The sequence below is a fragment of the Homo sapiens genome, chromosome 1 (assembly GCF_000001405.40).
Source record: "Homo sapiens chromosome 1, GRCh38.p14 Primary Assembly".
In the NCBI taxonomy this organism is placed as follows: Eukaryota; Metazoa; Chordata; class Mammalia; order Primates; family Hominidae; genus Homo; species Homo sapiens.
In genome coordinates, this window is record NC_000001.11 from 45,534,712 (window position 1) to 45,550,570 (window position 15,859).

At 46.4% G+C, this 15,859-nt stretch overlaps 7 annotated features.

Annotated features, from left to right (window-relative positions):
- Positions 3,559 to 4,059: an enhancer, noted in NCBI's record as "H3K4me1 hESC enhancer chr1:46003942-46004442 (GRCh37/hg19 assembly coordinates)". NCBI's record gives its function as "activates a minimal SCP1, AML or CMV promoter by ChIP-STARR-seq in naive H9 embryonic stem cells {active_cell/tissue: H9 hESC(naive)}" and the evidence as "EXISTENCE:reporter gene assay evidence [ECO:0000049][PMID:30033119]".
- Positions 4,060 to 4,560: an enhancer, noted in NCBI's record as "H3K4me1 hESC enhancer chr1:46004443-46004943 (GRCh37/hg19 assembly coordinates)". NCBI's record gives its function as "activates a minimal SCP1, AML or CMV promoter by ChIP-STARR-seq in naive H9 embryonic stem cells {active_cell/tissue: H9 hESC(naive)}" and the evidence as "EXISTENCE:reporter gene assay evidence [ECO:0000049][PMID:30033119]".
- Positions 8,980 to 9,129: an enhancer, noted in NCBI's record as "active region_974". NCBI's record gives its function as "activates an Ori minimal core promoter by ATAC-STARR-seq in GM12878 lymphoblastoid cells {active_cell/tissue: GM12878}" and the evidence as "EXISTENCE:reporter gene assay evidence [ECO:0000049][PMID:35858748]".
- Positions 9,150 to 9,199: an enhancer, noted in NCBI's record as "active region_975". NCBI's record gives its function as "activates an Ori minimal core promoter by ATAC-STARR-seq in GM12878 lymphoblastoid cells {active_cell/tissue: GM12878}" and the evidence as "EXISTENCE:reporter gene assay evidence [ECO:0000049][PMID:35858748]".
- Positions 10,256 to 10,305: a silencer, noted in NCBI's record as "silent region_831". NCBI's record gives its function as "represses an Ori minimal core promoter by ATAC-STARR-seq in GM12878 lymphoblastoid cells {active_cell/tissue: GM12878}" and the evidence as "EXISTENCE:reporter gene assay evidence [ECO:0000049][PMID:35858748]".
- Positions 10,996 to 11,175: an enhancer, noted in NCBI's record as "active region_976". NCBI's record gives its function as "activates an Ori minimal core promoter by ATAC-STARR-seq in GM12878 lymphoblastoid cells {active_cell/tissue: GM12878}" and the evidence as "EXISTENCE:reporter gene assay evidence [ECO:0000049][PMID:35858748]".
- Positions 15,798 to 15,857: an enhancer, noted in NCBI's record as "active region_977". NCBI's record gives its function as "activates an Ori minimal core promoter by ATAC-STARR-seq in GM12878 lymphoblastoid cells {active_cell/tissue: GM12878}" and the evidence as "EXISTENCE:reporter gene assay evidence [ECO:0000049][PMID:35858748]".

A 15,859-nucleotide genomic window follows, 5' to 3' on the forward strand; every position in this document is an offset into this window, starting at 1 on the left:
GCTGTGAGTGCTGGCTCATGCCTATAGTTGCAGCATTTTCGGGGTGCTAAGGCAGTAGAATCACTTGAGCCTAGGAATTCAAGACCAGCCTGGGCAACATGGTAAGACCCCATCTCTACAAAAATTAAAAATTAGCTATGTGTGGTGGTAGGTACCTGTAGTCCCAGGAACTTGGGAGGCTGAGGTGGGAGGATTGCTTGAGCCTTGGAGGGTGAGGCTTTAGTGAGCTGTGATCATGCCACTGCAGTCCAGCCTGGGCAACAGAGTGAGACCCTGTCTCCAAAAACAACCAAAAAAAGGAGAGATGGGGTCTTGCTCTGTCATCCTGGCTGGAGTGCAGTGGCTGATGATGGGTCACTGCCGCCTTAAACTCCCCAGCCCAAGTGAATTCTCCCGCCTAAGCCTCCTGAATAGCTGAGATTACAGGAGTATGCCACCATGCCAGGCTTGAACTTGTTTCTGGGTTTACATTGACTTCCACTCATTATTTTATTTTTTATTTTTACAAATCTGACATTTCAATTTTTTTTTTTTTTTTGAGGCAGAATTTTGCTCTGTTGCCAGGCTGAAGTGCAGTGGCACAATCTTGGTTCACTGCCACCTCCGCCTCTGGGGTTCAAGCGATTCTCCTGCCTCAGCCTCCCGAGTAGCTGGGACTACAGGCATGTGTCACCATGCCCAGCTAATTTTTGTATTTTTAGTGGAGACAGGGTTTCACCATGTTGGCCAAGATGGTCTCGATCTCTTGACTTCGTGATCTGCCCACCTCGGCCTCCCAAAGTGCTAGGATTACAGGCGTGAGCCACTGCACCCAGCCTCAATTCTTATATTTTCTATCAGATATCAACCTTAAATTCAAGTATGATTTGATAATTGTTCTTCTATTGCTGTCCTGGTTAATACTATGCTGCTTTTCATTATTAAATAAGGCACCCATTTAGGATATTGAACGCTATGGATTTTAGCTTCAAGTTTTCATTTTCCCAGAAGATGAAACTAGAGACATAAAATATTGATTTTTCTTCTTTTCTTCCCTCTTCTTTCCCCTCCAATTTTAGGGGATCAAGAATGAATGTAGAGATATAGTCCAGACCAGAGCAGTAAAGGGAACATGTCCAAATTGGATCAATCATGAAGCCAACTTGGAATACTAAAGTTGGTTTTTATCTCTAGCTACCTGATGCTTCAGCAACTGATTAATTCTCAGATTCTTTTTTTTAGAACCAAGTCTCTGTAAGTAGAAGCACTTTTCGGTTATTTCTTAATCTCAACACTATTGGCATTTTAGGTTTGATAATTCTTTGTTATGGAGGGACCGTCCTATGTGTAATAGGATGTTTAGCAGTATCCTGGCCTCTTCCCTCTAGATGCCAGTAGCACCCCCCACACACGGTGCCAACTGTCTCCCCAGGTTGAGAACCGCTGAGTTAGAGAAGGTCAAAAAAATGACTAGAGGACTCCTAGTTTATCTAACCTTCTGACCTATTTGTCCTGTTTGTCCTGGCTGGCAGGGTCAGCTCTGCCTAGAGGCAGGGGAAAAATCTTTTACTTCTTTCATGTATTCATACGTTACTTCTAGCTATCCATCCTGGCCAAAGCTTCCAGAAATTAGGAAGCTTGCTTGCCAAAAGCACTGCAATTAGGAGAGTGATGATGTCGGGACTAGAAAGACTCACACCCACTGTAATCTGTCTTCATATTGCTCTTGAGTGCCACTCTGCCCAAAATTTATCATGTTGACAAATGACAAAAGGCTCTGAAAAAGCATACACATGAAAAAGGAGAGCTTTACCTCTAGGCAAGAATGCTTCACTCTGATTAATTCCTACCCCCAACCACACCCCTCACCACAAGATAGAATCTTGTCTTTTGTGAGGTCTTAGTCATGTTCCTTTGGCCCACTGCAGGCCATAATTCTGCAACTAGAGACATCTCTAATTCTCTCCTTCCACCTTCCCCTAGAGAAATGTCAGGCCTGACAGATGGACCCTAGTTTGAGATCTCTATGACCAGAGTGGGTTCTGAGGCAGGACCAACCCTTACGGTTGAGCAGTCTGAGCATCTGACAAAAGGGAATAGTGGGTGGTCTGGTAACCTGCCCCTAACCTGCTCATCAGAGATGGTTTGCTGAACCAGGAGAAAGCTTGGCCCTTTCTAATTATAAAATAAAACAATTTCACTCAGTATATGTTTCAAACCAGAAGATTTATCTCCCCTCTTTTCTTCTTTAACTTAAACAGCCCCATTTCCCCAGCTGCTCCTTAACTGACCTGCTTTCCAAACCCCTGCTGATATCTTCCTATAGCATTTAGCTTAGTATCAAGTTCAACCTCCTTCCTTAGCTTGACACACGAGGCTCTCTACCCTCTGACCCCTTGTCACTCCTCCCTCATATACACCTCCTGCCGCTCTAGCCGTAAAGCACTATTTGCAATCCCCGGAGTGTATGTTGCAGATCTCAGTGCTCTCCCCAATTCTCTCCACTTACTCTTTGCCTAAATCCTGCTTGAAAAAATTGGGCTTAAGTGTTACCAGTTCAGTGGTAGCTTTCCTGACAACCTCCTTATTCCCAGTCTGATTTTCAGTGCCCCTTCCTCTGTATTTCCACCATACCCTGTGCATATTTCTATCATATGCTTACATAGTTCCATAATTGTTTATAATTTATGTTTCTTTTCCCCCTTTGGACCATGATCTTTGTGAGTCAAGGTTATGGTGGTTGTAAGTATCTCAGAGCATTGAATAGAAACCGATACAACCATTGCATTGAACTATGCATTCCTTGAGGGCAGGGCCATATCTTCACCTCTGCATACCAACATCTAGCATATCACCAGTAAATAGTTGGTGTTCAGTGAATGAAGAATGAATACATGAATGCTTCAGGCAGAAGGTTGCTCTCATGTGGCTAGCTACACATTTGGTGATCTTTTTTTGTTTGTTGGTTTGCTTGTTTTTTGTTGCTGTTGTTTTTGTTTTTTGAGACAGAGTCTTGCTCTGTCCACCAGGATGGAGTGCAGTGGTGTGATCTCGGCTCACTGCAATCTCCGCCTGCCGGGTTTAAGCTATTCTCCTGCCTCAGCCTCGGAGTAGCTGGGACTACAGGTGTGCGCCACCACACACAGCTAATTATTGTATTTTTAGTAGAGACAGTGTTTCACCATGTTGGCCAGGATGGTCTCAATCTCCTGACCTCGTGATCCACCCACCTTGGCCTCCCAAAGTGCTAGGATTACAGGCATGAGCCACCGCACCCGGCCTTTTTTATTTTATAAAGACAGAGTCTTGCTCTTGTCACCCAGGTTGGAGTGCAATGGTGTGATTTTGGCTCACTGCAACCTCTGCCTCCTGGGTTCAAGTGATTCTCCTGCCTCAGCCTCCCGAGTAGCTGGGACTACAGACACCCACCACCACACCCAGCTAATTTTTGTATTTTTAGTAGAGACAGCATTTTACCATATTGACCAGGCTGGTCTCGAACTCCTGACCTCAGGTGATCCACCTGCCTTGGCCTCCCAAAGTGCTGGGATTACAGGTGTGAGCCACCGCACCTGGCCCTTTTTGTTTTTTTCAGTCTGAATCTTTTTCATTCAGCCTGCTGCCCAGGCTGGAGTGCAGTGGCGTGATCTCAATTCACTGCAACCTCCACCTCCCGGGTTCAAGCAACTCTCCTGCCTTAGCTCCCTGAGTAGCTGGGACTATGGGCGTGCACCACCAAGCCCGGCTAGTTTTTGTATTTTCTGTAGAAACGGGGTTTCGCCATGTTGGTCAGACTGGTCTCGAACTCCTGACCTCAAGTGACCCACCCGCCTCAGCCTCCCAAAGTGCTGGGATTACAGGAATAAGCCACCATGCTCGGCCATATTTGGTGATCTTATTTTTGAGTGTCATGACGATGCAAAGAGGACATGTTGGAGCCAGGAGACTGATGGAATCCTGCCCTCACCCAATTTATTGGTATCTGTCATAAGTGTACAAGTCCCATATTCATGTCAGCAGAGAAAGTGCTGAACAGGGCCGGGCGCGGTGGCTCACGCCTATGATCCCAGCACTTTGGGAGGCCGAGGCGGGCGGATCACAAGGTCAGGAAATCAAGACCATCCTGCTAACATGGTGAAACCCCGTCTCTACTAAAAAATACAAAAAATTAGCCGGGCGTCGTGGCGGGCGCCTGTAGTCCCAGCTACTCGGGAGGCTGAGGCAGGAGAATGGCGTGAACCGGAGAGGCGGAGCTTGCAGTGAGCCCAGATCACGCCACTGCACTCCAGCCTGGGCGACAGAGCGAGACTCCGCCTCAAAAAAAAAAAAGAAAAGAAAAGAAAAGAAAAGAAAAGAAAGTGCTGAACAGATATTTGCTGAATTAATCAGTCTCAATTTCCCCATTTTCAAAGATCTTAGTACCTGCTTCCTTCTACCATATGTTAGCAAGAAGATTAAATATAAAATTAATATACTTATTACTATTTTCTGAGTTTGTTGGAAGCAGAGAGTGTGGTAAGTCAGCCTCCTCTAAAACGGAGCCAAACACAGCCACTTTGGATGGTGGCGTGGAACTGCTGACAGGAGTGAGCTTTACTTATGGAGAACTAATCTAAGCCTGAGAATTGCACTGTAACTTCTATCCTTCTCCTTCCTGGAGGGGGAGGGGGGGAAATACAGGCATTTTTCTTTTTCTTTTTCTTTTGAGATGGAATCTTGCTCTGTTGCCCAGACTGGAGTGTGGTAGTGCAATCTCGGCTCACTGCAACCTCCGCCTCCTGGTTTCAAGCAATTCTCTTGCCTCAGCCTCCTGAGTAGCTGGGATTACAGGCACCTGCCACCACACCCGGCTAATTTTTTTTTTTTTTGAGACGGAGTCTCGCTCTGTCGCCCAGACTGGAGTGCAGTGGCACGATCTCGGCTCACTGCAAGCTCCGCCCCCTGGGTTCATGCCATTCTCCTGCCTCAGCTTCCCAAGTAGCTAGGAATACAGGTGCCCGCCACTATGACCGGCTAATTTTTTGTATATTTAGTAGAGATGGGATTTCACCGTGTTAGCCAGGATGGTCTCGAACTCCTGACCTCATCATCCGCCTGCCTCGGCCTTCCAAAGTGCTGGGATTACAGGCATGAGCCACCACATCTGGCCCCAGAGTAGCTTTTTTTTTTTTGAGACGGAGTTTTGCTCTTGTTGCCCAGACTGGAGTGCGGTGGCATGATCTCGGCTCACCGTAACCTCTGCCTCCCGGGTTCAAGCGATTCTCCTGCCTCAGGCTCCCGAGTAGCTGGGATTACAGGCATGCACCACCATGCCCAGCTAATTTTGTATTTTTAGTAGAGATGGGGTTTCTTCATGTTGGTCAGGCTGGTCTTGAACTCCCCACCTCAGGTGATCCACCTGCCTCAGCCTTCCAAAGTGCTGGGATTACAGTTGTGAGCCACTGTGCCCAGCCCAGAGTAGTAATTTTTGTTTGTTTGTTTTTTGAGATGGAGTCTTGCTTTGTTGCCAGGCTGGAGTGCAGTGGTGTGATCTTGGCTCACTGCAACCTCTACCTCCCAGGTTCAAGTAGCTGGGAATACAGGTGCGTGCCACCACGGCCAGCTAATTTTTTGTATTTTTCAGTAGAGATGGGGTTTTACCGTGTAAGCCAGGATGGTCTGGATCTCCTGACCTTGTGATCCACCCGTCTCGGCCTCCCCAAGTGCTGGGATTACAGGCGTGAGCCACCACACCCAGCCCAGAGTAGCTATTTTTTAAGTGTGTAAGAATTGGGCCCCTACTGCCTTAGGTGGGACAAACCAGTGTGGGGATTTTCACTGGAGATGTTTTTGATCAGTGCTATAAACTGGATTTGCTGCTTCAATCTCAAGGGGGTTTTCAGACAGGGTCTGGCCAGGGAACTCCAGAGTTCTAATTAACTTCTAATTGGCCATTTAAATAATAATATCTCGGTCTGTCCAATGCTCAGAGATCCTGAAGGATTTTATCTAATGAAGAAGGTATTTTGCTTCTTACTAGTGTCCCAGGCTTATGTGGAGCTTAATTAATGTTCATTGAGTGCCATTTGCTTCTGGTGACCCTGAAATCCTGTTGCCTCTCCGAAATAGACTCAAATATCTTGTCTCCAACTGGACAAGAACACAGTCAAGCCAAGTAGCTTGGCTATAATTGGTCTATGACTAACATGGCAGCCTTATATCAAAGGCTTATTGCTAGAATCCCTAGAAAAAGAAATGAGGTAAAAGTACAGCAGGCGCCATGTCTGGCCACAAAGACGGCAAGAAGCCCCTGAAACAGCACAAGGAGCAGGCCGAGGAGATGAATGACTAAGATGACGCTTTTAAGCAGAAACAAAAAGAGAAGCAGGCCAGGCCAGGCATGGTTGCTCATGGTTGTAGTCCCAGCACTTTGGGAGGCTGAGGCTAGAAGATCACTTGAGTCCAGGAGTTCGAGACTAGCCTGGCCAAAATGGCAAAACCCTGTCTCTACCAAAAATTTTAAAAATTAGCCAAGTGTGCTGGTGTACACCTGTAGTCCCAGGACACCTATAGTCAGGAGGCTGAGGTGGGAGTATCACTTGAGCCCAGGAGATCAAGGCTGCAATGAACCATGATCACACCATTGTGAGATCCATGATCTAGCCTGGGTGACAGAGTGAGATCCTGTCTCAAAAAAAAAAAAAAAAAAAAGGGAAGCAAAAAACCAAACCAAAACAAAACAAAAGATAACATAAAAACAAAACAAAAGGAAGCAAAAAGCCAGGCATGGTGGCTCACATCTGTAATCCCAGCACTTTGGAAAGCCAAGGCAAGCAGATCACCTGAGGTCAGCAGTTCGAGACCAGCCAGACCAACATGGAGAAACCCTGTTTATACTAAAAAAAAATATATATATATATATACAAATACAAAAATTAGCCAGGCGTGGTGGTGCATGCCTGTAATCCTAGCTATTCTGGAGGCTGAGGCAGGAGAATCGCTTGAACCCGAGGGGCAGAGGTTGTGGTGAGCCAAGATCGCACTATTGCACTCCAGCCTGGGCAACAAGAGCAAAACTCCGTCTCAAAAAGAAAAAAAAAAAAAAAGGAAGCAAAAGAAACTCAAGAGCTAAAAAATGGAGGTCTCAGGGACGGGCCTGGCTGAGGTGGGAAGATCACTTGAGGCGGGAAGTTCAAGACCAGCCTGGGCAACATAGAGAGACACTGTCTCTACAAAAAAGTGAAAAAATTAGCAACGCATAGTGGTGCGTGCCTATAGCCCTAGTTACTCAGAAGACTGAGGTAAGAGGATCCCTTGAGGCCTGGAGTTTGAGATTACATTGAGCTATGATTATACCACTGCACTCCAGCCTGCACAATAGAGCAAGAATAAACTTTTGGCTGGGCATTGTAGCTCATGCCTGTAATCCCAGCACTTTGGGAGGCTGAGGTGAGTAGATCATGAGGTCAGGAGTTCAAGACCAGCCTGATCAATATGGTGAAACCCCGTCTCTAATAAAAATACAAAAAAAATTAGCTGAGCCTTGTGTCAGGCACCTGTAATCCCAGCTACTCAGGAGGCTGAGGTAGGAGAATTGCTTGAACCTGGGAGGCAGAGTTTGCAGTGAGCCAAGATCGCGCCATTGCACTCTGGGTGTGCAAAGGAGAGTCTCTGGAGCAAGACTCCGGAGCAAGACTCCATGTTAAAAAAAAAAAAAAAAAAAAGAATAAACCTTTAAAGAAAAAAAAGAAAAATCATACAGTGGCTTATCATCTCCCAGCCCAGAATCCTACCAGAGTTGGCCCTTTGGTCTTTGTTCTACTCTAAATTATGTATCACCTGGAATTAAACCAACTGATTTAAAAAAAGAAGAAGAAAAAAAGAAAGGAAATCAGGTTCTTAAAGCCCAGCACTAGTAGAGCTCAGACAAGTTACCTTTTTATCCTAATGAAGTAGGAAGGGCACCACTATGTACCTAGCACCCAGGAATGTTTAACCTTTACTCACGTTCTGCCTGGAGAAGGAAGCCAGGCTGCAATGCAGGGATCTGGCTCCTGAACTCTGTCAAGGCTGAGGCAGGGCTGGATAAGAAATCTCTACCCCCATGTCAGGCTTGTGACCAGCCTCCTCCCTCATCTTGCACAACCTTGATCCAGGGGCAGGAACTGATACACTGGCCTTTGGAAGCCGTAGGACTTTGAACTTCGTTGAACTTCGGAGCTGAAGGGCTGAACAGAGCTGGTGCCAAACCCACTTTTAGTAACCCCATAGTTTTTTTTTCCCCCCACTTAACAACATATCAAAGACATTTTTTCCACAACAATACTTACATATTTACTTTATCCTTGTTGTGTCTGTATTTATCACATGGATGCACAACAATTTATTTTGGATATTCCCTTCCTACAAATATTTACGTAATATGTTTTAATTTTTTTATATTAAAAATATATTTTAAAAATAGAGACAGGGTCTCGCTATGTTGCCCGGGCTGGTCTCAAACTGCTGGCCCCAAGCAATCCTCCAATCTTGGCCTCCCAAAGTGCTGGGATTACAGGCGTGAGCCACCACGCTCAGCTGATTTGGGTAATCTAAACAACACAGTAAACAGCCTTGTCCCTTTTCTATTATTTCCTAAAACTAAGTTCCTTACAATTGCTGAATCAGAAGGGATGGACATTTAACATTTTCATATATATTATCAAATTGCCTTATATATATGTTTTCTTTTTCTTTCTCCTACTTGTATTTTGAAGTATATATATTTAAATTTGTAATACTTTTTTTTTTTTTTTTTTTTTTTTTTTAGAGACAGGGTCTTGCTTTGTCATCCAGGCTGGAGTGCAGTGGCACAATCATAGCTAACTGTAACCTCAAACTCCTGGGCTTCAGTGATCCTCCCACCTCAGCCTCCATTGTAGCTAGGACTACAGGTGCACAACACCTCTATTTTTGTAGAGACAGGGTCTCAGTATGCTGCCCTGGCCTCATGTGATCCTCCCACCCAGCCTATGCTCCCTTCTTATCAAACCACATGTAGTTCCTGGAATGTAACATCCTGCTTCATTCCTCCACAACTTGGCACATATCAATTCCTCTGCTCAGACTACCATTCTCCAGCTTCCTTTAACTCCCTTCCCAACAACAGTCTATTTTTCCAAAAAACTCCTGGCACATGGTAGATATCATTAAATATTGGTCAGTCGAATGAATAAATCAATCACTTCTACCCACTTTTAGCACAGAGCAGCCTCTGTGGGTGACATGTGCAACAGAAGACCGTAAAATTAGGAAATGCAGTTGACAGGGGAAATCCGCACCGCCATATGACAGGCTGTCTGCTTCCGTCAGCGGTTATTCCCTTGCCTGCCTGCCCTAGCCCACACCACTTCCTCCTCTTCCCCCCACCCCCGACTTTCCAGTCCCAGTCCATTGGTTTCAGTTGGCTGCAGCCTCCTTTCCACCACTTCACTGCAGCATTGATCTTTGTAACTGCCATAATAGAACTGATTCCTACCCTGATATAACTATAGCTTCTATGCCAACAGCTGTAGCTCTACATAATCATGTGTGTGCATGTACAGGTGTAAGTGTGCTTGCATGGGTGCATGAGTGTATATGTGCGCATGCATGAGAGAGAAAGAGACTGCAACCCTGTGCAGAGTCCTCCTCCTCTATTCTGGAGTTCTGTCTCTGTCAGGGATGGGTGGCAGTTTGTAGTAGTTTCACTTGAAGGGGTAGGAGAAGAGGGAACAGTTTTCCTATTTCAACCTAGCTTGCAGCAGCCTATTTTGAATATAAATAATAATCATTACCACTCATTAAATCTCTATGTACCACCAGGCACTTTACATCCATTGTTTCATTTAATCCCCAAACAACTCAAAAAAGTAAGCATGGCCAGCTTGGTGGCTCATGCCTATAACTGCAGCACTTTTGGGAGGCCAAGGTGGGAGGATCGCTTGAGCCCAGGAGTTTGAGATCACCTGGGCAAATATAGTAAGACCTCGTCTCTACAAAAAATAAACAAAATTAGCTGAGCACGGTGGTGGACAGTTGTAGTCCCAGCTACTTGGGAGGCTGAGGTGGGAGGATTGTTTGAGCCTGGGAAGTCAACACTGCAGTGAGCCGTGATCATGCCACTGCACTCTAGCCTAGATGATAGAGTAAGACTCTGTCTCAAAAAATAAATAACATATATTTAAGAAATTAAGAATTTTGCTTTGGTGCATAATCAGGAAAAAAGCAATAAATGGTTCTGAGGACCAAGTCACTCTGGTGGGATTGGGGATTGGAGCTCAGATCCCAAAAGATGAGGTAGCTGACTGCATAATGCAGTCCCCAGGGCCTGGTGCCAGCCTTGCTGGCTCTCAGCAGCCACTTGAATGGGACCACAGGATTTGAGGGGCCTGAGAGGGAGAATAATGCCTCAGTGCACAGGCCCAGGGCCATTTCCAGTAGCTACCTGTGTAGGGACTTTCACTACTTGGGGGAAATGAGTCAGGTCTTGTGAAGTTGGTTTCAGAGCTGGCCAGAGTTTAGGAATGATTCGGCCCTAATAGGGGATTAGAAGGAACTTAAATATGTTCCTTAAATGTGCGCTCATTACAATGTCACTAGAAGGTCCACGCATAAAGTCAAGATCTTGTTCAGGCCCCCTTATCGCCCTGCTTCGTATATGGGTCCTCTGGGAACCTGAACTCTGTTCTTCATTCTCATTCAGACAGCCTAGCCTACAGTAAGCAGGAAGTGCCAGCAAATAAGTCACTGGGGTAGCTCCGGGACAAACTCAGAGACTTGGACAGCAGGCATTTATTTCTTCATCTCTTCTACCTGGCCACATTCCTCTTAGGGTCTAGAAACCCCTGCCAAATGCTAAAACGTTCAGTGAGGGGTGCTGAGAACTTAACCTTTCCCTCCCTCCTGCCTAGTTGTCCAGAAAGGGATGCTCCCTTCTCCTTCCTAGACAGCCATTCTCACTTTCTAGCTCTTCATCTGTTTCAGCCTCCTCTGTCGCCACACAAGGCCAACCCTGCACACACACATAGGTATGCATTCTGCCTGTTCTACATTAGCCCCTCTGGACTGTGAACCTTGAAGGCAGAGAACAAGGCTGGTCCTTTTTTTTTTTTTAAATTTTTGTGATGAAATCTCACTCTGTCACTCAGACTGGAGTGCAGTGAACAATCTTGGCTCATTGCAACCTGCACCTCCTGGGTTCAAGCACTTCTCCTGAGTAGCTGGGATTACAGGTGCCTGCCATCACACCCGGCTAATTTTTGTATTTTTTGTTTGTTTGTTTTGATTTTTGTTTTTCCGTCGGATTTATTTCCTCACATTACAGCATACTTTTCATATGAGCCTACACATATCAGATGGTAACTCTGGAATGGGTGAGTCTGTGACACTGACCCAGCACAGCTGTGAGGGTGATGACAGGCAGGTTAGCAGGTGCGCACAGAGGGGCTTTCTTCTAAATTGGAGGTCAGGTTAGATGATTCAGCTCCGCAGAGCTCATTCAGTGCTCCGTCTTCTGGTGGCTTCCCTTGATTTCTAATAAAAGCTGCAGATGGAGTCACTCAGTTCCACATGGCTGGGGAAGCCTCAGCAAACTTACAATCAAGGTGGAAGGCACCTCTTCACAGGGTGGCAGGAAAGAGAATGAGTGCCTAATTTTTCTATTTTTAGTAGAGATGGGGTTCCACCATGTTGGCCAGTCTCGTCTCAAACTCCTAACCTCAAGTGATCTTCCCACCTTGGCTCCCAAAGTGCTGGGATTGCAGGTGTGAGCCACCGTGCCCGGCCAAGGCTGGTCCATTTTTGTGCCCAGTGAAAGGACTAGGACATAGTATATGCTAAGTAAATGTTAGCTAAATGTATGATCCATGATCCCCCCCACAATTATCCCATTATTTTTTTTCTTTTTCTTTTTCTTTTTTTTTTGAGACAAGAGTCTCGCTCTGTCACCCAGGCTGGAGTGCAGTGGCATGATCTTGACCCACTGCAACCTTCACCATCCAAGTTCAAGGGATTCTCATGCCTCAGCCTCCAAAGTAGCTGAGATTACAGGCGTGCACCACCATGCCCAGTTAATTTTTTGTATTTTTACTAGAGATGGGGTTTCACCATGTTGGCCAGGCAGATCTTAAACTCCTAATCTCAAGTGATCCACCCGTCTTGGCCTCCCAAAGTGCTGGGATTACAAGCTTGAGCCACCGCGCCCAGCTTCCCTCCATCATTTTCTCCACTTTCATATCTCCTGTCTCTTCCACTGGACCCTTCCCCGCTGCTTAGCACGTGGTCATGCTCGCATTTCCCACATAGTGAAAAACTCTCCCTCCATCTGCATCAAGTCACTATTAACCCATAACTTTTCTTCCTCTTACTTTTTTTTTTTTTTTTGAGACAGGGTCTCACTCAGTTGCCTAGGCTTTGTAGTGGTGGGTGCGATCACAGCTCACTGCAGCCTTGGCCTCCCAGGCTCAGGTGATCCTCCCACCTCAGCTTCCCAAGTAGCTGAGAACACAGGTGCATGCTACCATACCCAGCTAATTTTTGTATTTTTTGTAGAGATGGGATTTCACCATGTTGCCCAGGCTGATCTTGAGAACCCCTGGGTTCAAGTGATCTGCCTGCCTTGGCCTCCCAAAGTGCTGGGATTACAGGCATGAGCCACTGTCCCTGGCCTTTACTGTATCCTTGAGAAGTCCTTCCTCTGATTCTCCATGTCTTCATCTCCTGTTCATTCCTGAATTCAGGTCATCTGGCTCAGGATTAACCATTCCACTGAAGGAGCTCTCCACATTGGTCACCAATGATCTTCATGTCCACCAAATCCAAAAGTTTCTGCTGTGGATATCAGACAACATGAATATAAAGACTATGGTAAGTAGTGGATGCTCAATAAAGTGGTTGTTCTTATATTCTTATTTGCTCACTTCTGTTTTTTTGTTTTTTAAAAATTATTATTTATTTTTGAGATGGAGTCTTGCTCTGTCGCCCAGACTGGAGTGCAGTGGCACCATCTCGGCTCACTGCAACCTCTGCCTCCCAGGTTCAAGCAATTCTCCTGCCTCAGCCTCTCAAGTAGCTGGGATTACAGGCACCTGCCACCATGCCCAGCTAATTTTTGTATTTTTAGTATTGATGGGATTTCACCATGTTGGCCAGGCTGGCCTCGAACTCCTGACCTCAGGTGATTGGCCCGCCTCGGTCTCCCAAAGTCCTGGGATTACGGGTGTGAGCCACCACACCTGGCCTGTTTGTTTTTAGACAGGGTCCTTGGTAAAAAGAATTTGAGGGGAAAAAAAAAAAGAGACAAGGTTTTGCTCTGTTGTCTAGGCTGGAGTAGAATGGCACAATCATGACACACTACAGCCTCGAAGACCTGGGCTCCAGCAATCCTCCCACTTCAGTCTCCTAAACACCTGGGACTATAGGTGTGCACCACCGTGCCCAGCTAATTTTTATATTTTTTGTAGAGATGAGGTTTCACTATATTGCCCAGGCTGGTCTTGAACTACTAGGCTCAAGTGATCCTCCCTTCTTAGTCTTCCACAGTGCCGGGATTACAGCCATGAGCTACTGTGCCTGGCCTGTAGGTTCTTCTTTTACGTATTTTTTTTTTTTTGAGACGGAGACTTGCTCTGTCACCCAGGCTGGAGTGTAGTGGTGCGGCTCACTGCAACCTCTGCCTCCTGGGTTCAGGCGATTCTCCTCCCTCAACCTCCTGAGTAGCTGGGACTGCAGGCGCGTGCCACCATGCCCAGCTAATTTTTGTATTTTTAGTAAAGACGGGGTTTCACCATATTGGCCAGGCTGGTCTCGAACTCTTGACCTCGTGATCTGCCCGCCTTGTGCTGGGATTACAGGCGTGAGCTACTGCGCCCGGCCCCTTTTTTTTTGAGACAGAGTTTTGCTCTTGCTGCCCAGGCTAGAGTGCAATGGCACAATCTTGCCAAACGCAACCTCTGCCTCCTGGGTTCAAGTGATTCTTCTGCCTCAGCCTCCTGAGTAGCTGGGATTACAGGGATGTGCCACCTCACCTGGCTAATTTTGTATTTTTAGTAGAGATGGGGGTTCTCCATGTTGGTCAGGCTGGTCTCGAACTCCTCACCTCAGGTGATCTGCCTACCTCGGCCTCCCAAAGTGCTGGGATTACAGGCGTGAGCCACCATGCCTGGCCTATTTTATTTTTTTTTGAATACAGGCTGGAGTGCAGTGGCGCGATCTCAGCTCACTGCAACCTCCGCCTCCCTGGTTCAAGTGATTCTGTTGCCTCAGGCTCCCAAGTAGCTGGGATTACAGGCTCGCATCAATACATCCAGCTAATTTTTTTTTTTTTTTTTTTTTTTTTTTTTTTTTGAGGGGCAGTCTCGCTTTGTCAAGAGGCTAGAGTGCAGTGGCTCGATCTCGGCTCACTGAAACCTCCGCCTCCCGGGTTCAAGCGATTCTCCTGCCTCAGCGTCCTGAGTATCTGGGACTACAGGTGCGCGCCACGACGCCTAGCTGAATTTTTTTTTTTTTTTTTTTTGAGATGGAGTTTCACTCTTGTTGCCCAGGCTGGAGCGCAATGGCGCAATCTCAGCTCACCACAACCTCCGCCTCCCAGGTTCAAGCAATTCTCCTGCCTCAGCCTCCCGAGTAGCTGGGATTACAGGCATGTGCCACCACGCCCGGCTAATTTTGTATTTTTAATAGAGACGGGGATTCTCCATGTTGGTCAGGCTGGTCTCTAACTCCTGACCTCAGGTGATCCGCCTGCCTCGGCCTCCCAGAGTGCTGGAATTACAGGCGTGAGCCACCGCACCCGGCCAAGTCTGATTGTTTTTATGAGGATGGCCTGATACATTAGACATTTGGTCCACCAGGACATCACTTATGTTGGGGAGACAGTGGGGGATAACGGGGGTGGGGAAATGGGAAGAGTTGCTCTCAGGGAGTAAAGGTGTGGGGAAAAGCAGAGCCAAACCGAGATAACCCTGTGTCTTGCCCATCCCTGCCAAGGAAAACACATACATGCAAGACACCTCTCCACTCAAACAGCACAGACTATTTCAAATCGCAGATGTGTCATTTAATTAATACCTGTGTGACTTTGGGAAAATTATAAATAGCCTTAACCTTGCTGAGTCTGTCCAATCTGTAAAATGGATTATGAATACTTTCCTCACAGGCTTATGGTGTGCTGGTAATATCTTCCTCTGGATGGCAGTTACATTGCAAAAAATAATTTAAAAAAAAGAACTGTATACATTTAAGATTTATACATTTTCTTTCTTCCTGGATGTAGAATAGGAAAAAAAGAAAAAGAAAAAAAAAAAGACTGGTGTATTTTCTGTATATATGCTATACTACGATTTTTAAAAAGGCTTGTACGAAATAAAAGAATATTCCTTTTCGGCCAGGCGCAGTGGCTCACTCCTGTAATCCCAGCACTTTGGGAGTCCAGGGCGGGTGGATCACGAGGTCAGGAGTTCAAGACCAGCCTGGCCAAGATGGCGAAACCCCGTCTCTACTAAAAAATACAAAAAAATTAGCCAGGCGTGGTATCGGGCGCCTGTAATCCCAGCTACTCGGGAGGCTGAGGCAGAGAATTGCTTGAACCAGGGAGGCGGAGGTTGCAGTGAGCCAAGATCGCGCCACTGCACTCCAGCCTGGGCGAGAGCGAGATTCCGTCTCAAAAAAAAAAAAAAAAAAGGAATATTCCTTTTCCAGGATTATTATGAAGATTCAATAAAACCATGTTTATTAAGTGTTAAGCACAGTGCCTGGCACATAACGTGCTGGGCGGGGTCTATGGTCCAGACAGGGGGACCAGGCACTTTCCAGCGCCTGGATCTGCAGACGCGAGGTCTTCTGTATTCTGGCCAATCTTGGTGTTGCAGCTGCTCTCTGGGCC